General features: G+C 52.0%; 2 long non-coding RNA genes across 2 annotated transcripts in view, besides 5 other annotated features; one reads left to right on the forward strand and one right to left on the reverse strand.

Annotated features, from left to right (window-relative positions):
- PITX1-AS1 (PITX1 antisense RNA 1) overlaps positions 1–19718 on the forward strand; it is a 311407-nt gene that overhangs the window by 195207 nt on the left and 96482 nt on the right. The window lies entirely within an intron of this gene.
- Positions 1222–1783: an enhancer, noted in NCBI's record as "H3K27ac-H3K4me1 hESC enhancer chr5:134565392-134565953 (GRCh37/hg19 assembly coordinates)". NCBI's record gives its function as "activates a minimal SCP1, AML or CMV promoter by ChIP-STARR-seq in naive H9 embryonic stem cells {active_cell/tissue: H9 hESC(naive)}" and the evidence as "EXISTENCE:reporter gene assay evidence [ECO:0000049][PMID:30033119]".
- Positions 2260–2419: an enhancer, noted in NCBI's record as "active region_23168". NCBI's record gives its function as "activates an Ori minimal core promoter by ATAC-STARR-seq in GM12878 lymphoblastoid cells {active_cell/tissue: GM12878}" and the evidence as "EXISTENCE:reporter gene assay evidence [ECO:0000049][PMID:35858748]".
- Positions 2430–2479: an enhancer, noted in NCBI's record as "active region_23169". NCBI's record gives its function as "activates an Ori minimal core promoter by ATAC-STARR-seq in GM12878 lymphoblastoid cells {active_cell/tissue: GM12878}" and the evidence as "EXISTENCE:reporter gene assay evidence [ECO:0000049][PMID:35858748]".
- LINC02900 (long intergenic non-protein coding RNA 2900) lies at positions 7754–19697 on the reverse strand. Its single transcript, NR_037895.1, has 4 exons — positions 19646–19697; positions 19133–19332; positions 10673–10824; positions 7754–9509 (listed from the first exon to the last, which is right to left on the reverse strand). It is a non-coding gene; the product is annotated as a long intergenic non-protein coding RNA 2900 (long non-coding RNA).
- Positions 10340–11146: an enhancer, noted in NCBI's record as "H3K4me1 hESC enhancer chr5:134574510-134575316 (GRCh37/hg19 assembly coordinates)". NCBI's record gives its function as "activates a minimal SCP1, AML or CMV promoter by ChIP-STARR-seq in naive H9 embryonic stem cells {active_cell/tissue: H9 hESC(naive)}" and the evidence as "EXISTENCE:reporter gene assay evidence [ECO:0000049][PMID:30033119]".
- Positions 18147–19346: an enhancer, noted in NCBI's record as "CDK7 strongly-dependent group 2 enhancer chr5:134582317-134583516 (GRCh37/hg19 assembly coordinates)". NCBI's record gives its function as "activates an origin of replication core promoter dependent on BRD2, BRD4, P300/CBP, MED14 and CDK7 cofactors, with strong dependence on CDK7, by STARR-seq in HCT116 cells {active_cell/tissue: HCT116}" and the evidence as "EXISTENCE:reporter gene assay evidence [ECO:0000049][PMID:35650434]".

Below are 19718 nucleotides of genomic sequence, written 5' to 3' on the forward strand. Positions count from 1 at the left end.
ATGGTGTAAATATTCCCACCATGGCTGATTTCAAGTTATCAGTTTGATGTCACTGAATACTAGGTTCTTGTGAGCTAGCAGGAGCTGGCTTTGGCACTCCACTGGCCTCATCTCTCAGATTCTGGTGCTTGCAGTTTATTTGGGAAACAGCAGAGAGGTAATAGGAGGAGAGTTGACATTGTCAAGCCTTTGTTTGAAAATGCAACTCTCAGGGTTATCGAGTCTTGGGAAAAGGGGATGGAGAACATGGCCAATTAGAAGGCCACTGCTGACTCTTGGGAGCAGTAGGGCTTGGGGCCAGGCAGGGGTGGGAAGGGTCCTTGGAAGAGACGGGCCAGATCCCATCATATTCAGTGAAGTGAAAATCTTTCCCTCTGTCCAGGACCTCAGGAATCTCTTGCTCTAAACATGCATTTCTCAGTGAGTCTTCTCAGAGGCAGTGCAGCACTCCCTCCTCCTTTCCCCTCTAAGGTCAGGTTGGCCCTAGAGCAATTTTACAGGGGAGTGCTTGGCTTCCTTTTGTGCATCCATCCAGTCCAGTTATTTAAAACCAATGACAATGACATACATTTCCCAAGAAATGACCTGGGAATATTCATTTGGGAAAAAATAAATTTTCTTGGAAAGAAACCCAGCTGGGGAATTGAGGATAAAAGGCTCATCAGCCTTTGTGCTCAGCTGTGACAGAGGCCTGCTGAGCTTCAGGGACATCTATGGGACTGGAGAGCATGCAGTGGGAGCCTCCTGCCCTGATCCTGTATGGATAAGGGGGCACCAAGGCCAGAGTGTGGCCAGGCAGAGATCCAGGCTGGCCCAGAACCAGCAACCCAGGCTTCCTGGGGGAAGATGGTTTTAGCTGGATGTTGGCGTATGGGCAGGACCTGGAAGGGCAGGGATCTCTGGGGGTCTGAGAGTGGCTTCATGGCTGCCATTTGCCTCTTCGCTCTCAGATCCATTCTTGCCCTTCCCCTGCTTGGCTCTGTATCCCAAGGGCTGGCCTTGCAAACCACAGGTCCCAGGCTTCCTTGAAAACTGACTCTGGCCAAGTTTGGCCAATGAGAGGCACTGACAGATGGGAGGGCAGGCGGAAGAGAGAGGAAAGGGTATGTCTCCTCCAAGCTCTGGCTTTGGTGGTGTCTCTGCAGCAGTTGTGTCTTCTCTGTGTCTCTAGCCATCATTCATCAGCCTCTTTCTGTGGCCTCAGCTCTCCCAGATTGAGGAGGCCCTTAGGTGACCTTAGTTCCTCCTGGGTGGCCCTGGTTTCTGGGCTCTGGAAGCACCTCTTCCTGCTGCTGTTCCTCCAGAGGGCTCTGGTGTTGCTCATCTCTGTTTGCCTCACTGCTCCCTGCTTGTCTTTGTAGCTCTTGCAACTTTGTAACTAGTTCACTTCGTTGATTTATGGGGCATGGACTCTGGACTTGTTTTCCTGCCGAGATCCTGCTATCATTCTTGCCTGGCCCTTCCTCCCTCATCCTGCCCTGCTCTGCCTTGCCCAGGATGGAGGCCCGCTGACCTCTAGGCCAGGTCCCCATTCTGTGGCTTCGTGGAAGCCTGTATGTTAGTGGAAAGAAAGGGTGAGGCCAGAGTTCAGTCTTGTGAAGGGAAACACTTGCCCAGGGTTATGCACCAGGCACCAGAGGTCTCAGCTTTGATAGGCCTCCAGGCCCCAGGTGTGGCTGCAGAAGGGTTTGGGTTTAGCAACATGCCTGTGAAGGGGTCCCTGAGATCCTTCCTCAGAACTCCAGGGCTTCCAGGAACAAAGCTGGGAAACCACCAGTCTAGTCTCAGCTTCTATTTTATGCATGTAGAAACTGAGGCCAGAGAGGAACAGGGACTTTCCCAAAGTCACACTGGCTCCGAGCAGACTGGCAGAGCAGGAACTCAGGCTCCAGTCCCCTAGCCCAGCGCCTTGAGGCTCAGCCTCTGGATTCTCGGTAGCTTTGGGAAGCACAGGGGCATGGGGCAGATAAAGGTATGTGGTCAGGAGAAGGCACCCAGCCCTGCTGACAGGCCCGCTTGCTGTCAGCAGAGGCCTCAACTGAACTAGTGCTGCCTCGGACCGCCCTCCTCAGGAATCCCTGCATCCAGATGCCTGCTTCAGGGTTGGCAGAGACCCATCCAATGCCCAGGTGCGCCTAGCATCCAGCCTCCAAGTGCAGGGCATGAGTGTGGAGACGTGCCCTAGATGGGGCTTGAGAGAAAGCCCTGAGCCCACTCCAGCAGCACCCTCCAACACCCTTACAGAGAAGGGCCAAGTTGCATAAGAGCTGTGTGGCTGCGGCTGTGCTTTGTACAGAACTGAGAGGGCTGCGTGCCCATGGGAGAGGGATGACTCAGCATTGCTGTTGCTAAGGGAGGCCAAGATGGCGAGCCAAGGGGCCAGGGCAGGGGCAGCGTGTGCAGAGCCCTCTGGGAGCACCCCAGTGTGGAGCAGAGAGTGCCCACAATTCCCTCTTCAGGCCAGTGGCCTGCTCGTGTACGCATTGAGTCTTCTCCCACATCATGTTGCCCCTGCCCCAGCTGATAAGCTCTCTTCACAGTTCTGCATGCTCACCAGCTCCAAGCAGCAGCCTTGGGTTTGCACACATTTGAAGTCTTTGGGGCATGGAGGGGTGTTTCAGGCAGAAGGTAAATCTCAGGCAAAGCAAGGATCCAGGATAGTGTGCCAATGGGTAGTCCCATTGGAGTGGGAGATGGTATCCCCACAGGAGAAAGTCCCATAAAAGACCTCTAGAAAGGACAAGTCATTACCTAATCACGCAAGGCCTTCAGCGACTGGCTTGCCCACACTTGAGTCTGAAAATCAGGGGCCATTGAAGGTTTTGGAGTAGGTGAGTGCTGGTGCCAGAGATGTGCTCCAGGAAGGTGGAGAGGGAGTGCACAGGGCATGTGAGTGGAGCTAGAGGCCAGCGTAGGCCAGGCAGGGTGGGGCCATGCAGTTACTAACACAGCATGGAAGAGGGCTGGCTGAGGACTGGCCACAGAGGGCAGAGTCAGGGTTGGTCAGTCTCTCTCCCTGGGCCTCCAGGGTCAGAGGGAGGAGCTGCTTCCCCACTGCAGGAGGGTGTGGCTCAGGAGCGTGGAGTGGCAGTGAAGAACACCTGTGGAATGGCACCATGGGCCCCTCAGGCTGGGTCTCAGTCATCTCATCTGCTAATTGGGAATAATATCATATACTTCCTAGGACCATTGGGAAGGTTGAATGTCTGTAGAAGCCTTAACACAGCTCCCAGTTCCAGCAGGTACTTAGGAACTGCAGGCAGAGCAGGCCCCTGATTCACAGACTAGCTGATGATTCCTCTCAAGGGTCCAAGCCAATACCCAGCCTTTCAAGTCTTCCTCCACACAGTCTTTTCCAAGGCCTCTTCACAACTTTTCTGTGGCCCCATTGGGTCAAGGTGGGTGACTGCCAGGGCCCTTCCCCACCCTCGGGGCACCTTCACCTTACTGTGCCATGACTTCAGTGAGCAGGAACCAGCCTGCCCTTTTTACCCACTGGTTACCGAGGGGTCCAAGTCAGATTTGCCCCACCCATCCCGCCCAGTCTCCTGGCTTGGGGAGACAGAGGGGGAGATTTGCTGTGAGGTGGGCAACCTGACCAGACTGCATGCACTTGCCACTTCTATGTCCCCCCTCCTTTAATGATTGTCAGGAAGGGTTCTCAGAGAAAGGCTTTTTAGTGAGGAGATACGAAAAGAAGGTAGCAGTTAACCAAAATGTGTTTCTGGGAGGAGCCCTGGGTTCTCTTCCATCAAGAGAGGGGCTAGGAGGAGTTTGAGACCAGCCTGGCCAACATGGTGAAACCCTGTCTCTACTAAAAATACAAAAATTAGCCAGGCATGGTGGCACGTGCCTGCAGTCCCAGCCACTCAGGAGGCTGAGGCATGAGAATAGCTTGAACCCGGGAGGCAGAAGTTGCAGTGAGCCAAGATTGTGCCACTGCACTCCAGCCTGGACAACAGAGCGAGACTCTGCCTCAAGAAAAAAAAGGCGGGGCTAGGGCCAGGCACAGTGGCTCACGCCAGTAATCCCAGCACTTCTGGAGGCTGAGGTGGGCAGGTGGCTTGAGCCCAGGAGTTCAAGACCAGCCTGGGCAACACAGAGAGACCCCCTTCTCTACAAAAAATTAGCTGGACATGGTAGCATGCAGCTGTCGTCCCAGCTACTCAGGAGGCTGAGGTGGGAGGATCACTTTATCCCAGGAGGCTGAGGCTGCAGTAAGCTGTGATTGTGCCGCTGCACTCCAGCCTGCATAACAGCAAGACCCTGTCTCAAAAAAAAAAAAAAAAAAAAAAAAAAAAAAAAAAAAAAAAGGCTGGACTAGGTTGTAGGGGAGCTCGGCTAAACCCCTCTTCTTGAGACCCCAGACTCCTTTCTGGGGTTCTTGAGCTGAAACTAGGGTCCTGCTGGGAGGCATCCTGAGGGCCACTGGCAACATGGAAGAGCACGGAAGCTTCCCTGAGGGCAGGTGAGGGGCAGGTGGGCATGGAGCCAGGCCTTGGGGCCCTTGGCAGGGCGGCTCCGTCCCTGGGAGGTGAGGGCTGCTGCTGCTGGCTGCTGTGCCAGCCCAGGGTCCGTTCTCTGTTGCTGCTGGGTCCCGGCTGGCCTGCCGCCTGCCCACAGCTTGCTTGGGCTGCCAGGCCTTTGTCTTCGTGAGTTCCTGGCTTCGCCCCTGATTTGGGTGGTGGATACAGATGACTGACACAGAGCAATGCTTTCTGGACACACAGGGCACTCCCTCCTCCTCTTGGAGAACGGAGGGTGTGTGCCAGGACAGAGGCTGTGCCTGGCATGTGGGAGAGAGTGAGCCACAGGAGGGTAAGGGCTAGTCCTCAGGCCACATGGAGAGCAGCATGAGCTGTTTTTTTCTAGATTCTGTAAGAACTCTTCCTGCTGAGTGAAAAACTCTCTCCTACTGAGAAAGAAAAGGCTGGGGAGAGTTGTCTCCTCCCTGGATAGTTCCTGCACTGTCCTCAGAAGCTGGGGAGATGGAAGATGGGAGAAGGAGAGTTGGTTTTGCTTAAGACTGGGGAGCTGAGTCTTAGGAGAATCCACCAAATCCCATGGTTTTGCTGAGGACCTGCTGGCTGGCAGGAGATTGGACAAGATGACCCTTTGGTCAACTGAACCTGGCATCTGCCTCCAGGGCAGCTGATCTTGGCACCATCCCCCCCCCCACCAGGACAGGTGCCACTTCCGGATAAACATTTGGGCAGGATGCCGAGGCTGGCCCCATTTCAGAGCATGACCTCTGCCGGCATCCCTCCAGGTGCGAGGCTCGGGACTTAGAAGTTGTCATGAAACAGAATCATGGCACTCTTGTCCACACTGGCAGGGGAAATAAAACTCAAACTGAAGAGAGTGGATGTAATGTTCTCAAGCGTAAGTTTTTCTTCCATAAATTTTTAATTAAACCTTTGGCACCCATTATGCCTTCATCCCTGGAAAGCTCTGGCAGATGCCAGAATTGTAGAACCATTTTCAACATGTGTGAATCCAGTGAGACGATTCACAGCTCTGTGGGGCACAGCTGTGGTCGGAACTTGAACAGTTTGTGGTGGCTTACCAATTGCATTTTCGGATAGTAAGATTGTGCCTGGTCTGTGTGCTGGAATTTGGCACGTCAGTGCTTTGCTGCACTGCTCAGAGGGACCTGGTGACAAGTGTCCAGGCCCTGGAATAGGTGAAGACATCAGTGGCTTGGAGCCCTGTTTTTCAATTCTCAAAAGTCTGTGTTTTCATTTTGATAAAAATCTGTTAAAATTCATACAATCTCATCAAGATTATCTGAGTACTCACCTCGTAACTTGGATTTACGGCACCACTGAAGAGACCCTTTACATGTCTTCGTAACGGTGTTTGTTCGATTGCTCGCGTTTGCACCGAGGGAAGGCCGAACACTGCTGAGGTCCACGGTACAAAGGAAGTTCAGTTTGCTTGCATTTGTTTAGGTAAAGTGAAGGTGGAACAAAGCTCATGCCAGTGGGCAGGACGGAGGCCAGGCACCCATTAGCTGGTGACCAGGGTCACGTTCATATGGCAAACAGATTCTGGCTTGCCATGTGGCAACTTGCTGGAGTTCATTGGCAGTAAATGTGCTGGGAACTATGTGAGGAAGAGATTGCTGGGATTAGAATTAGGAAGAAATGAACTAAATGTCTATTTAAGGCAGATTTTAGTAGCACCATGGGCTAATGTGGCTTCAAGTGAACAGGACAGCTTTATAGAGTTATCAGGTAATCCCTCATTAAAACTGATGCCTCAGGGTTGTGTGCAGGGTTCTGGTGTTGTATCAAGGCTGGTTAACCCGAACTTACAAACAAAGCCTTAAAGTTATTAATGCTACTTTGTCTGTTTGCATACATCTGTTTGCAGGCAGTCACTCTCTGCGTTGGTATTAATTAAATTGAAATACAGAAACAGAACTGGCCCGAGGCCACATCTTTCTACTATTAAACCCATTCTTGGCAATTTAACTTTAGCAAAACACATCATCTAATTTTATTGGTAGTTTTGTTTGTATTTTATTTCCAAATTTGCTTTGGCTTTTATGTGTTCAAGGGTGATAAATACAAGGAGTGGATTGCACTAATTTTTGTTTCTATATACATATCCATTCATTTACCCGGGATATATTGCCTGAGCTCCTGCTCCGTGACAGGCATGTTCTAGGCAGGGAGGATGCAGCAGTGAGTAAAGATGAAGAAAGCTCTGCCCTCGTAGAGTCTACCACCTAGAGGCGGAAATAGCCCCCAAAACAAAAAGAACCCTGAACAAACCAAAACCCCACAAACAAATTAGTAGATATACAACAAAATATTCGGTGGAGATGAAGGAAAAGTTAGCTGGGTAAGAAGATGGAGCAAAAGAGGCATTCCCCTTAGGCGAGGTGGTCTGGGTGGGCCTGTCTGAAGAGGTGACATTTACTCAGAGACCTGTGTGAGGCAAGGGAGTGGAGCACACCAGTTGGGGAAGCGGGTTTTAGCTTAGGAAGCAGGAAGTGCAAAGACCCCTGAGACGGGCATGTGATCAGTGCATGTTGTATGTTTCAATTATGCTGAGAATGAAGATTTTATATTCGTCAGCACATGGGGGTTTGGGAGCCTGCAGCAAGAGGTGGGGTAGCTAGCCTAGTGTGGGGGCCTAGGAGGACCCCAGATCCAGACAGAGGAGAAGCCTGGGGGGCAGAAGGCTTCCCTCAGGCTTGTGAGCTGACAGGTCGGCATAGCACCTTGGCTGAGGGAGGGCAGAGGGAGGAGCCGGGGGGCACCCCTCCCCCCACCTGCAGCCTGTTCCCCCCACAACATGGGCGCATAGAGCGGTGGTTCTCAACCTTGAGCAGAATCACCTAGAGGGCTTGTTAAAACACAGACTGCTGAGCTCCACCCCAGGATTTCTGATTCAGGAGACCTGGGGTGGGGCATGAGAATGCAGTTCACCAAGGTTCCCAGATGATGCTGATGTTGCTGGTCCAGGGACCACACCTTGAGAGCACTGATCGAGAGCAAACGCAGACCGTGCCAGGATTTGCCAAGAATGACTGTGGAGAGAAAGTGAGGCACAAAGCCTTCACTAAAGGTGCCCCCAGGGGTTTGACTAGGTCTGCAGTGTCCCTTGCTGAACACCACTGCGTGTATGTGTGACAGGTGTTGCCCATGCATCTCAGTCCATGGTCACTACTGTCAGGGGCCTGACTACATAGGTCAGGGAAGAGGACCCCTGTGGGAGGGGAACATTGAACAGTTGATCGTGATGCAAAGGAAAGATATTTTCTTTTGGTAAAAAGTGAAGTGGGAGCCCTTATAAACCCTGATCAGCCCAAAGTTGGAAAGAATAATGTTATTATCATGAAGCTCGGGATGGATGGGGTTGGGGCGCAGCTCTGGCACAGGGTCCCGGGCAGTCGGCACTCAGTAAATATGGACTGACACTGAGAAGTGGTGGCTCTGATGTTACCACCTAGAGAATGCATTTGTGCCCTGTGAATCTGGGGTCCAGCGGCTCTTCTGTCCTGCCCCTTCTCTCTCTCTCTCTCTCTCTCTCTCGTCCTCTGACTCCACAGGCTTTAGCCTTGTCTCCTAGCCGGGGCATGTGTGAGGTCCTTTGCAAGTGACTGGGGACTCTGGAAACATGAGGTGGTGATATCCAGGGGTGAACTCCTGACACGTGGCTTGATTTTCCCAAGTCAAGACCCTCTGCTTTTCCTAGGGGTCTACCTTGGGTGTGGGTTTGAGCATTGCGGGAGGAAGAAGGAGAGGGAGGCAGTGGGCTGTGCTCTGCCTGGAAGCATGCAGGAAGCTGATGGGAAACAGCTGAGCCAATAGCTCTGCACACACAGAAAATAAATCCTGGCTTCCGAAGAAGCTGCAGAAAATTGATTTTTTGCAGCTTCAGTGGTCATCTTGAAGGATTTGGGGGATGGAAATGGGGCCCATTTCTCATCTCTGTTCTGTGCTGCTGGGTCAGGTGTTCCTCAGGCCCGGGTCAGTATCCCTCGCTCCTCCTTGTCTCCCCACCACTCTGTGTAGAGAGGAAGGGGCCGAGGGCTGGTCTTCCTCAGCTTACCCCTAGTGTCCAGCTGCTTTCTGCCTGTTGCCTGCCCTTTGGGCCCGCTGCCATGGATGGGAGAGGTGCGCATGTTCGTGCAGCCAAGCTGGGATTATGGCATTTGCACAGGGATGTAGCTGTGGGTCTGTGTGTCTGGGTTGTTGGGGGACAGGCTGGGGTGGGTGCCCTTTAGAGCTTGGCCTCTGCATGACTGCCTAGTCCCTCAGTGAATGCTGCAATTAATTGGCTACTAGGGAGACATTAGCCAGCTAGGTAGGTCTGCTGTAACCATCCCCCTGTGTCTGAGCAGGCTTGCTAGGGGCCAGGGCCGTGTCTGGGAACAAGGGCTGGCCCTCTGGCATGTTTCCCCTACATGTGTGGAGAGTGGACTTATCCCAGGCCCAAGGGATCTGAAGATCCCCACAGCCAGGGAGGAAGCTGCAGCTCCAGATGGATGGTTCCCGGAACTCCTGTTGGCTTTGGATGATTTCATGGAAAACTTGGCCAGGGTGCTGTGAGGCAGAGCTGTGACCTCTCAGCTCAGCAGCCAACACAAGGAGTTCCTTCACCTTGTAGAGACATGCAGTGTGGGCCGCCACAACCCTCCCCTGGCTCTGTGTCAGCCCTGCCCTGTGGAGCCAGCTGGGTCTCTCTGGTCCCCAGCCTGTGCCTGGCTGTCAGGAGGGATGCATTCTGTCCTGCTGGGCTGATGTGAAACCCCATGAGCTCAGGCCAAAAGAGCCCCACTCTTTGTCCACATGGGGAAGTAGGGATTAGAGACAGGAGTCTGGACTGCTGTGGTCGCTTTTGTTGAGGCTTGGAATTTGGAAAGGAATCGTCTTTCCTGGTGGTCCTCGCTGATGTGGCATACCAGTGTCTCTTTCCCCAAGTAGCGCTGCCTTGCATCGCTCGAATGTTTCCATCTTGCTTGACTTATTGGAAGGAGCCACAAAGTGAACACCCTGCCAAAAAAGATCAAGTTCATCGGGGGTTTTGATGCTGAAATCCCTGAAAAGTGGCAAGCGTTTCTTTTTCCCCGTCTTGTTTATAGTGGCAGCTTCTGTTGCTTAACACCTGGTGGCCCTGGTGCTTATGCTTGGGGTCACAATGGGGATGTGAGGAGGGAGAAGGATGGAAGAAAAGGAGAGCATTGGACAGTTGATCGTGATGGAAAGGAAAGATATTTTCTTTTGGTAAAAGGTGAAATGGGAGCCCTTATAAACCCTGATCAGCCCAAAGTTGGAAAGAATAATGTTATGATCATGAAAGTGTTACGGATATGGTTCTTTTCCCCCAGATTTGGCCTGATCAGGGATTCTATATGCTGGAATTTCATGTATCACCTATTAATGCAATAATGTTATTAATAATTATAAATTAAAGAGCAGCCGACTTAGTAGGTTCTTATTTGCAGACACCATGCCAAACCCTTTATTATCCATTATTTCATTTAATTACCTCAAGAACCCTATGGGTAATTACTATTGCCTTTTGAAAGTAAGGGAAACAGAAGCTGAGAAATGAAATAACTCGTCTGAACTCCACTGAGAGGCAGCGCAGGGAGGCCAATGGTGGGGGCTCTGGACTCAGACCCTGGATTTACCCTAAGAATACCACTTCCTGGGTGCCAGGTACTCCTGCCTGGGACAGAGAAGCAGGGAGTTTGAATGCTTTTGTTGTAATGATAATGAGAATGGTGATGGAGAGGTGATAAAGGGCAAAGGCCCTGGAGCCAGCCTCCTGAGTCCAAATCGCCATAGCACCGCTTAGCAGCTGGGTGACCTTGGGCAGGTGCCTCAGTTTCCTCATCTGTGCAATGGGATAGCGGCTGTACTTGCTCAGGGATTGTTGTGAGGATTAAATAGCTAATCCACGTGAAGGGCCTTAAAGGGTACATCAGTAGGTGTTGGTGGTGATTATTGTCATCCTCTGTGTGTTCTCCCAGGTCCACACTTTGCTATCCAGGAGGCCCTATGGGTTAGTGTGGTGAAGCTGGCACATGATGGATGTCCAATAGATATTCACTGGATGAAGGAATGCAATTTACCAGGTGCCCTAGAGCCTTTGGCAATAATTAATCTTCTCTTAAAAGGATCTTCCCCACAACTTCCTGCCTGAGACTGACCTGCAGGTGGGAGCCTGCCTCTCATCGACAGTGGCCAGCAGGCTTTTCCTGGGTCTTCTTGGCAGGAGGGTCACAGTCCCAGTGGATCCCGGTGGCTGCTGGAGGCACAGGTTTCTTGAGAGGCAGGTGACGGCAGACCCCAGCCCTCCAGCCTGCGAGGAGGGGGATGGTAGGAAAGCTATCGTTCTCTGAATAAGGGGGCTGTTCCGCAGCAATGTGCAAGCCATGGAGCTGGAGCCCTCCCCCCAGCCTCATGGGAAGGGGCTTGCAGAGAGCCCAGCCAGCCAGCGCAGGAGGCTGCAGGGCCTGTCAAGGTTAACAGATAGTCCTTGGCTCTCCCCTAGGAAGTAATTCAACTTCTCCCCTGACTTAGGCCACATTGTTTCAAAGCATGTGGTATAAACTACTGACCACTGGGGAATTGCTTGAATTAACAAACTCATTTTTCCCGAGACCTGAGGTTGAACTTGACTGAGCAGTTCAGGGCTCTTTTGTAGAAATCCAGTAGATCAGGAGAACTCATGTTACACCATGTTTTCAACCTTGATCAAATGCACATTTTGCATGATATGGCCTTCTCCATGCCTGCACTCTTCCAGCTGCACCAGATTGCTTGGAACTGTGGCAAACAGGCCGGTAGCTGGCACTGGAGCCTGAGAGAGCCGGCCTCCTGCCTGGGTTGGAAGGAGCTTCAGAACGACTCCTCCCTCCTCTTCTCTCACTCCTGCCTCTCCCATACCTACTTTCGGAGTGCCTTATACTAAGAAAGAAGGGGTATGAAGGGTTAGCTTGAATCATGCCGGTTCCCCTCCCTGCTCCACTCACTCTCCTGCATGTCTTGCTTCTGCCAATGAATACCTTCTGAGCCTGTCTCCACTCCACTGGTGCACCCTCCACAGAGCCCGCGAGAGATGCAAAAGAGCAACAGCAAGCCAGTCCTTCTCCCACCTCCAGCCCCGCCCACACAGCCCTCAGCCAGGCCTAACCTAGAGCAGAGCTCAGTGGAAGCCTAGGGACAGCTTCACACCTTAGAGGACACAGGCCTCTCTCCCGCAGGCCAGGAGCTCCCCAAAAAGGTTCCACATGTGATATAGGCTAAAACCGCAGGGGACAGTGGTTATCTAGGGCATGAGGAAGATGGGACTCAGATAAGGAGGGTAGGCTTCCTGGAGGAGGCTGGGTGGCATTTGGAAGCCCACAAGAGAAGAGAACAGGTTTTGCCAGGCTGATATGGAACTGGAAGACAGCAGCGCTCCCCACACTCTGTTCTCTGCCATCTACACACTGGGGATTCCATTTTGGTGAGGCAGGCAAGGGGGTATGTGGCCCAAGTTAATCCTGCCTAGCATCCTGAGCACCCGGGGAGCTTATAAACCTGTGCACGGACAGCTCCACTCCAATCAATTGCCCTTGGATGGGGTGTAGATATCTGCAGTTAGAAGTTTCCCAGAGGGTTAGGATGCTGGGCCATGCTCCAGACAGCCCTCCCTACTGCACGAGTTGGCTCTCTTTAGCCTGTCTCCTTTCCTGGAGAGGCTCTTTGGGGTTCAAAGACCTCAATCAAAGGAGACACATTTGATGGACTCTCCCTGGCTTTCAGTGCCCCCATGGCCCAGTTCAGCTCAGGCCATGGGAGGTGAGTTCTGGATCATGGTACCTCTGGGTCCCAGGGGCAGGAGATGGGGGCTCAGCCACTCCCTATGCCAACCTGTCTCCATCTAATGGTGGATGGCTCTCACCATCTCCTCTGCATGGATTTCTTTATTCCTTGGCTCCTGTCTCTTCAACCTAGAAAGAACCAGAGGCTGCCAGCTTTTGGAAGCATCATGATGTTTTGGCTTTATCTGCTGCTGCACTGTGGTTCTCCTGGAATTTCCTCACTCAATCAGGGAATCTGATTGGCCCAACTCAAAGGTCCATGATAGCCCATAGATTGGTGCCACAGGTAGCAGATGGGAGAGGAAACATACAAGGCATGTTGTCAGTGGGCCAGGGGTGGGGCCGGCAGGTGGTGGCCATGATCAATACAGATGTCTGTTGAGGCAGAATCTTCTGAGAAGCTGAAGCCTGGCAGAAGTATCTCCATCACGGAGAGCTGGCCAGATAGTCATGTGCAGGCAGGGAAACAGAGCTAGAAAACTAGGAGATTCATGAGCTAGAGTCCTCATTTCCATTTCAAGCATGAAGTCAGAGACTCTATGTGGGTGCAGAGGGGCTCTTGGGCCTTCTCACGGCCATAGATATGGTTCCTTCTTTGTGCATCCCAGAGCTTAGTGTGCTAGGAGAGTAATGGCAGGTTTGGAGATTACTTAGCTGTCTTGATCTTCTTGTTTTAAGGAATTTTCATGACAGAGTTTCTTAATCTGAGCACCGCTGTGAAGCTTCAGGGGCTTAGGAATCATTTGACATTGGATGAGTGTTGTGCTGTGTGAGCTTTTCTGGGGAGAGGGGTCCATGCCTCTATTAGCTTCTTCCAGGTGCCCCTGGCCCCAGGCATGTGACAAGGCACTGCTTTCTGGAACATTTGAGTTGCACTGGTTTCTTGTGTCCTCAACCACAGTGAGATCTGTGGAGCAAATGGCCTTGCTTGGTTTCATCAAAGGAATGTAGAGGTGTCTTCAGAGTCTTTGTCCTCCCTGGTCACTTTCCTGGTGGCTGCTGTTGCCATAGGCAAGTTCTGGGGGAGGTTGCCATCAGAAAAGGGTGTGCAAGACAAGTGCATAGGGGCTGTGTTTTATGCATGTGCCAAGAGAAAAGTCTCTTGTCTTTGCCTGTTTTGGTGTTGGCACTTGGCTTAGAAGAGCACAGAAACTTGGGCCCAGAAGTGTTTCTGCCTTCCTCTCCCTGTGCTTCCACAAGAGTACCCCTGGGGTCAGGGGAGCCACGAGAGCCTCCTGGAGTATGTGACTGCAGGGTAAAGAACTTCCTTTAGTTTCGTGGCCCTTGGAAGCAGGGGGTGTGGAATGACTCAAGCTGGCATAGGCTCATATCCAGAATATTCCCCTTGTGGCTTCCTGCCTGGGTCAAGGCCAAGCTTCCTGGGCCTTAAGGGGCTCTCTTAAGAGATCAGACCTAGCAGTGAATGCCTGCTTCACCCTCTCCTGAGCAGCTGTCATACAAGGTATTAGTTATGTGCCAAAAATGTTCTGACGGAGACACGCCAATGGCCTTGGTTGGAATGCCGGAAAACATTCATCCCGCTGGTGGCTGTGGTGCTGACAGTGGGTACTGTCACCCTCCTGCAGTCTGGGCTTCATGTGGACATGTGTGCACTATTTATGTGGCTAACAGGCTTCCTTACTGAGGGCAAAGTTTACATGCCATAAAAAGTCCATTAGCTGAATTTAAGCTTCTCCAGAGATCATGGGGTCTAATCTGTACTTGGCATTTGACGTGGAGAGAATTGAAAATCCCAAGGACCCTTTCTGCTGGGCTGTTGCTGGGATTGAAGAGAGAGCTTCGCTGAAGGCGTGAATAGGTGAATGGATGTATTAGGTGAGTGAGTGAGAGAACGATATCATTGGGGCCAACTGCTTGTCTCACAAGGCTGTGAATAGAAGTGAGGCTATTTTTGGATAGGTATTCAGTAAACAGCCTTTTATTTTTAATGCCAAGTGGCACAAAGTTAGCCATGGTAACAAGACAGTTTTGTTAAAGTGTTTAAAAATACCATTCCCTGTTTTTAAATCAATGGTTCGAAAGCTTTTTTGTTTTTACTCTTCAGCTAAAGACTTTGCCAGGCTGAGAAGCAGTACCAGTTGACCTTTTCCCAGTTGTACATCCTAAGCCTGAGTTTAAGATTGTCTCTGCACTCAGGCAGTGTCCTTTGGCTCATCTGAAAGTGGGCCAGTTCTGCTGGCTCCTCTCCTTTCTGGGAAGTTCACCCAAGTCCCTGAGCCAAGAAGAACAGAAGGTTTGTCTGAGTCAATACCTCTACTGCATGCCTGGGCCCAGCAGAGCTTATGTTGGGTCAGTAGTCCAACCTTCAAGGCCTCACTTGAGGACCCCCCGGTCCAGCAAACGGCACAGTGTGAGATGATGGGGGGCCGTGAAATGACACCCTAGATTATGAGAGGCAGAGAAGTGCTGTGTGAAAAAAAAAACCCAGAAGCTTTAGAACCAGTAGATCCTGAGCTTGAATCCTGGCTCTGCCACTCACTAGCCGCATGAGCCTTGTCAAGTGCTATGACTCTCCCGAGCCTCAATATGCTCACCTGTCAGATGGGGATGATGATATGCATACTGCATGGGTGGTTCTGAGTGCTTCATGATGATAATGAGCGTTAAGTGCCATGTAAAGCATAGATACATGAGGAGCAAGATCCTAACAGCCTGACTTCGGGTCTTGCACTACCACTCACATGACCCTGAAGCTCAGAGAGATCAAGTGACTTGCTCGGTTTTCTGTATACATGGGCATGCCTTCCCTTCCCTTCTAGTCACATCCTGCATCACAGGCGGTGGATGAGCCTGTCAGTGGTAATGATGGATCCTGTGATCAGTCCTCTCCTCTTGCCAGCCGGGCCAGAGGGAACACCCCATGGGCCGTGGGTGCTGACCAGCTCCTGTCTGCACACTGGGGCTGTAATGATTTCAAGACCATCCCCCTCACCTCAGGTTTGGGGAATTTGGAGCAGAAGGGATGTAGAGAGCACTGCCTTGCCGTGGCAGTCCCAGGGGTCCGCCCCAGCCTTCTGATCACTAGCAGGCCTCAGGACTAGCCAGGCTGTGGAGCTCGGCCTGACCCTGACCTTGGGCCCTGAACTCCACTGGTGCCCCGCTTGTCATGCACAGCCCCGTCAGAGCCGGCTCCCTGGGCTGAGGGGCTGCCCTGTGCTCCTCTGAGTCCCCGGCCGAGCGCACCGAATTATGTAATGCTGCTGAGCCAACATTTACGCGTCTCAGCCAATTTGCTGGCCTAGAGTTACACTGTGCAGATGCTCTGCCTTACGGCTTGCTTTTGTCTCGGAGGCCGTAAGCAGATAGCATAACCCTGCTTACCATTAGACATTTCGCAAATCATCTAGGCTCGAGCGTGCTGCAGCCAGACAGTTCATTTATGCTGCAAAGGGTATGATTTGTAAAGTAATAAATTTCCCATCTTTCTGCCAGCAATAAAGTACAGCAAGCCGGCGAGGCCAAAGCCCTCCAAAAATATACTGGCTCCCAGCGAGACCTGGAAGAGAGCTCTTTCTGGTTCTGCTTCTCTCTGTTCCTGAATTCGTTGAATTCTGGGAAGTCAGGTTTGGGCCATAAATCCCCCTACCATCTGGGTGACCCTGAGACCCAGCACAGATGTGTTACTAGCATGGGTAATTGACCGCTACCATGACACAGTTGTCACTTCCGGGTCCCTCTTGGTTCTGGCATTAGAAGAAGGCCTTGCTGGACCTCATTCAGACTGGGATGGAAAGTTGTTGACTGTGTCACCCCTATTTGTGGCTATGTGTCTGTGCTTGGGACCCAGGCAAGGCTCTTTCTCCTGTGAAGTTAGTGGCCTACAGTGATGGGTGTGTGTGTGCTGGTAGGAGCTCCTCTCAGTCTCCCGTGATGGCCCGCAAGGGCAAGTGTTTGGTCAGCCCCAAAGGGTTCTCTGTTGTGAAGGTGGCTGCTCTGAGCAGAAGGTCAGGGACAGGCTCAGAATTAGCCTTAGGAGTCTGGGTCCCAATTTCCTTGTTGGAGGAGGCTCAGTGGGTGGCGGGCACTTGCCACCAGCAGATGCTTCCTTAGAAGCAGGAGTTGTCAAGGAGCCCCTGGAGTTTCAGCCCAAAGTGGCAGCTGTGGTCTGGGACCCTGATGGGCAAACAGGTGGCTTGGAGTCCCCAGTTTTGGCCAGACCCTTTCTTCTTGCCCCCTTCTTCTGTTTAGAGGGGCCGGGCTGTGTCTCTGACCTCTGTTGCAGATGATGGTGAGGCCTCACGCAGCTCCCACTCTCTGCTTGTGGGAGCTATCACTGTTTCCTCTGAGGGAAAGATGGGCCTGAAAATGGCAAAAAGTCTCACATTTAGCTCTGATGGTTTCCTCTCGCCCTCACCTTCTCAATCTTCATATGTTCTCTCTTTTTTTCCTCTTCATTCTTCTTTTCCACATCTGCCTCCACTTGTTCCACCTTTGATATTTGCTAAAATTTTGTTCCATTTAAAAATTATATAATGTTTGGGGACTAGATAAAAGTAGGAAAATGAAGTTACAGTGAAATGGCTCAAACACAGTCACTGTGTCTGTTGTGTTCTATTGTTTCTAGGCTGAGGGTTTCCAACTGGGCTGTGGAGGCCCCAGAAAGGGACGTCCCCCTTCACTTAGGGCAGCCCTGCTATCACCTGTGGACACAGGGCCTCTTCTAGAGTTCTTTGTCCTAAGTGGGGTGGGTAGATAGAGTCTCCTCCCTACTGTCGTGAGGAGAGTCTGCTTTTTATAAAGTTGCTCCCAGCATCAGAGGCCAGCCCCAGTGGTGGGAAGGAAGGATGGCAAAGCCCCAGGAATGTCCCTGCCCTGACTTAGCTCCCACAGCCTCTTCGATTCTGCTGTCTACACCCCAGCTTCTCCACCTGACAGTCTCACCCTTCATCTCTTCCAGGTCTTGGCTCAGGCACCTCACTCAGCTCCAGCATTCGCTGCGTGTTGATCTCAGTTTTCTCAGGGGTGTGGGGGAGTTGATAGTTCCTGCCTGATAGGATTGTGAGGATTAAAGGAGATGATCTGGCATGCAGAAGGTTTCAGCAAATGTTGGCCAACAATGCAGGTTCAATGTATGCATCGGGCACAGGGCCACCTTATTGCTCAATCCGAGGGTGCCCACACATGTCAGTGTATGTGACCTTCCCTGACCCTATTGGGCAGTGCACAGCCTTTGCCCTGTATGTGGCAGCCCTGAAGGTGATGTTTCCAGTCCTGGGACTGGAAAATGAGGGTCTGGGAGAGAAGTTTGTTTTTGGAGAGGTAGGGGAGTCCGGTGTGGGGGTTAAAGTGGAAGACTCAATTCTTTTGCTCTGGGAGAGTGAGCAGGGAGGGGCAGGGTAGGGTGACTCAGGCCGCAGGGAGGAAGCTGCTTACTGCAGTCTTTAGCTCTTTGGAGAAAGATGAGGACCAGAAGCTGAAAGTGTGGTCAGGACCTGTTGGCCAAAAGACCAGAGGAGAAAGGCTGCAGAGAAAGAAAAGTTGCCATGGGTTACCAGGAAGGAAGACCTGAAACTGGTGCTGAGGCTCTAGGGAGCAGTTGTCCCAGGAAGGAAACCCTGGACCAAACTGCCCTCTCCTGCCACAGCTGCAGGGGTGCCCAGAGTTCAGGTCTGGGTGCAAAGGGGAGGGTAGGTGGGGATTGGCAGAGGATTCCCTGAACTCTGTAAGACATCACGGGTCATTCTCTCTCCAGTGAAAGGGCAAATGCTTGTTGAGCAGGTACAATGCACTAGGGACTGTGTGAGGGACTTGATGTATATTAGCTCTTTTAATCCTTAGGACAGCCCTGTGAACAGGCATTAGAATGGGGAAACTGAGACTCAGAGATGTTACATGACTTGTCCAAGTTTTTCCTAGCTAGGAAGGAAATAAAAATAGGATCCCAACTACTTCAAACACTTCCCTCTAGACTGTAAGCAACGCGGGGGCAGAGAATGGCTAGTCCTGCTCTCTGCTGGCTCCTCTAGTGTGTTTGTCAAGGTGCCTGGCATACAGCAGAACTGCGCGAGTGTGTGGTTGAGCCCAGGTCTGCGTGTTTCTGAGCCCATGCAAGGTATTTGAAAGTTCCTCTGAGCTCTTCTTTTTGCCCTGTGGCAGCCCCCTTGCCTTCCCTGGAAAGTACTGCTTGTTGGTGGGGGGAGGTCTCGGGTTGACAACACCCTACCGCCAGCTCGCTAGCCCCTTTAGGCCCCGAAGAAACTATTGAGTCATGCATTTTGCTTGGGTTTTGATGATTCGTGATTCATGCTTGTGAGGAAGGCAAGGGAGTGACTCATGCTGATTTAATAAGCTTAGGAATAGTCCTGAGAAGTGGCTGATAAAGTGCCGGCTGGCAGCCCACTCCCCCGTGGCTGCCAGCGCCAAGTGCTCAGAAATCACCAGGTTAAACAAGTCTGCAGAAAATTCAATCTTCCCGGCATGATTTTCCTTATTTGAGCTAATAGCATGAGGCGCCTTTCTCCTGGCACTGCGAAGTGCACCGGTGGCCTTGCCGTCTTCCCTGGGGGCGTGGGGGAGAAGGAGAGCAAATGCCTTACGTTTAGCGGATGCGCTAGGAACGGCTAGGACCTCCCAGGGTTTGCCTTGTGCCCATGGAACCAGCAGTTCCGCCCCAAGGGAAGCCAGCCGTGTGTCCTAGTGCCGGAATGATGGGGTAATGCCAGTGAGCCGCCCCTTCTCCACAGGGTACTGAGAACGAGGCCAGGCAGCAGCTGTCCTGGCCTCTTGGCCCTGTCAGGACTAACACACCTGGGTTGGGCCCACTGGGGTCAGGTTACTCACGGTAAGCAAGTGCAGGTGGAGAGAGGTGGCCCAGAGGAGCAGGCCAAGGTGGCAGGAGATGGGTCATTTCAAATGGCTCGCCAGCAGCCCAGGGGATCCCTGACATCTAGCAGGTATTGACATTGGGATTAACCCTGTGGGTCGATGGTTCCGTGCTGATTCCTCATGTGCCTCTGCGTCAGATTGCTCAGGCAAGAGGGCTGGAGAAAAAAATCAGAGATGCACCCAACTTGGTCAGTATCTGTGCAGCGATCCTGTTATGGTTGGCAGTCCCTTACTTTGAAGCTCTGATTCCTTTCAGAAGCTTCTGAAGTTCAAAGGAGCAGGTGGGGGTGGATAGGTCATTGAGAAAGGGCAGACCCTGTTCAAAAGTAAGATACTTCCTAAATCTGGTCTCCTTTCTGTAAGTTCTTTGGTGTCCCTCCCCATATGTGTTGAGCCCCTTGTGGCATGTTAAGCTCAGTGCTGGGACCAGCCAGGGGAACAAGGGTTCTGCCTTCATGAGTCTGAGACCTGTTTAGAGTGCAGCCTCTCCTCCCACTTTCCTCTCCTCTCCCCTCCTCCGATGCATCTATCCATCCAAAAA

Source organism: Homo sapiens, chromosome 5 (assembly GCF_000001405.40).
Source record: "Homo sapiens chromosome 5, GRCh38.p14 Primary Assembly".
Classification (NCBI taxonomy): Eukaryota; Metazoa; Chordata; class Mammalia; order Primates; family Hominidae; genus Homo; species Homo sapiens.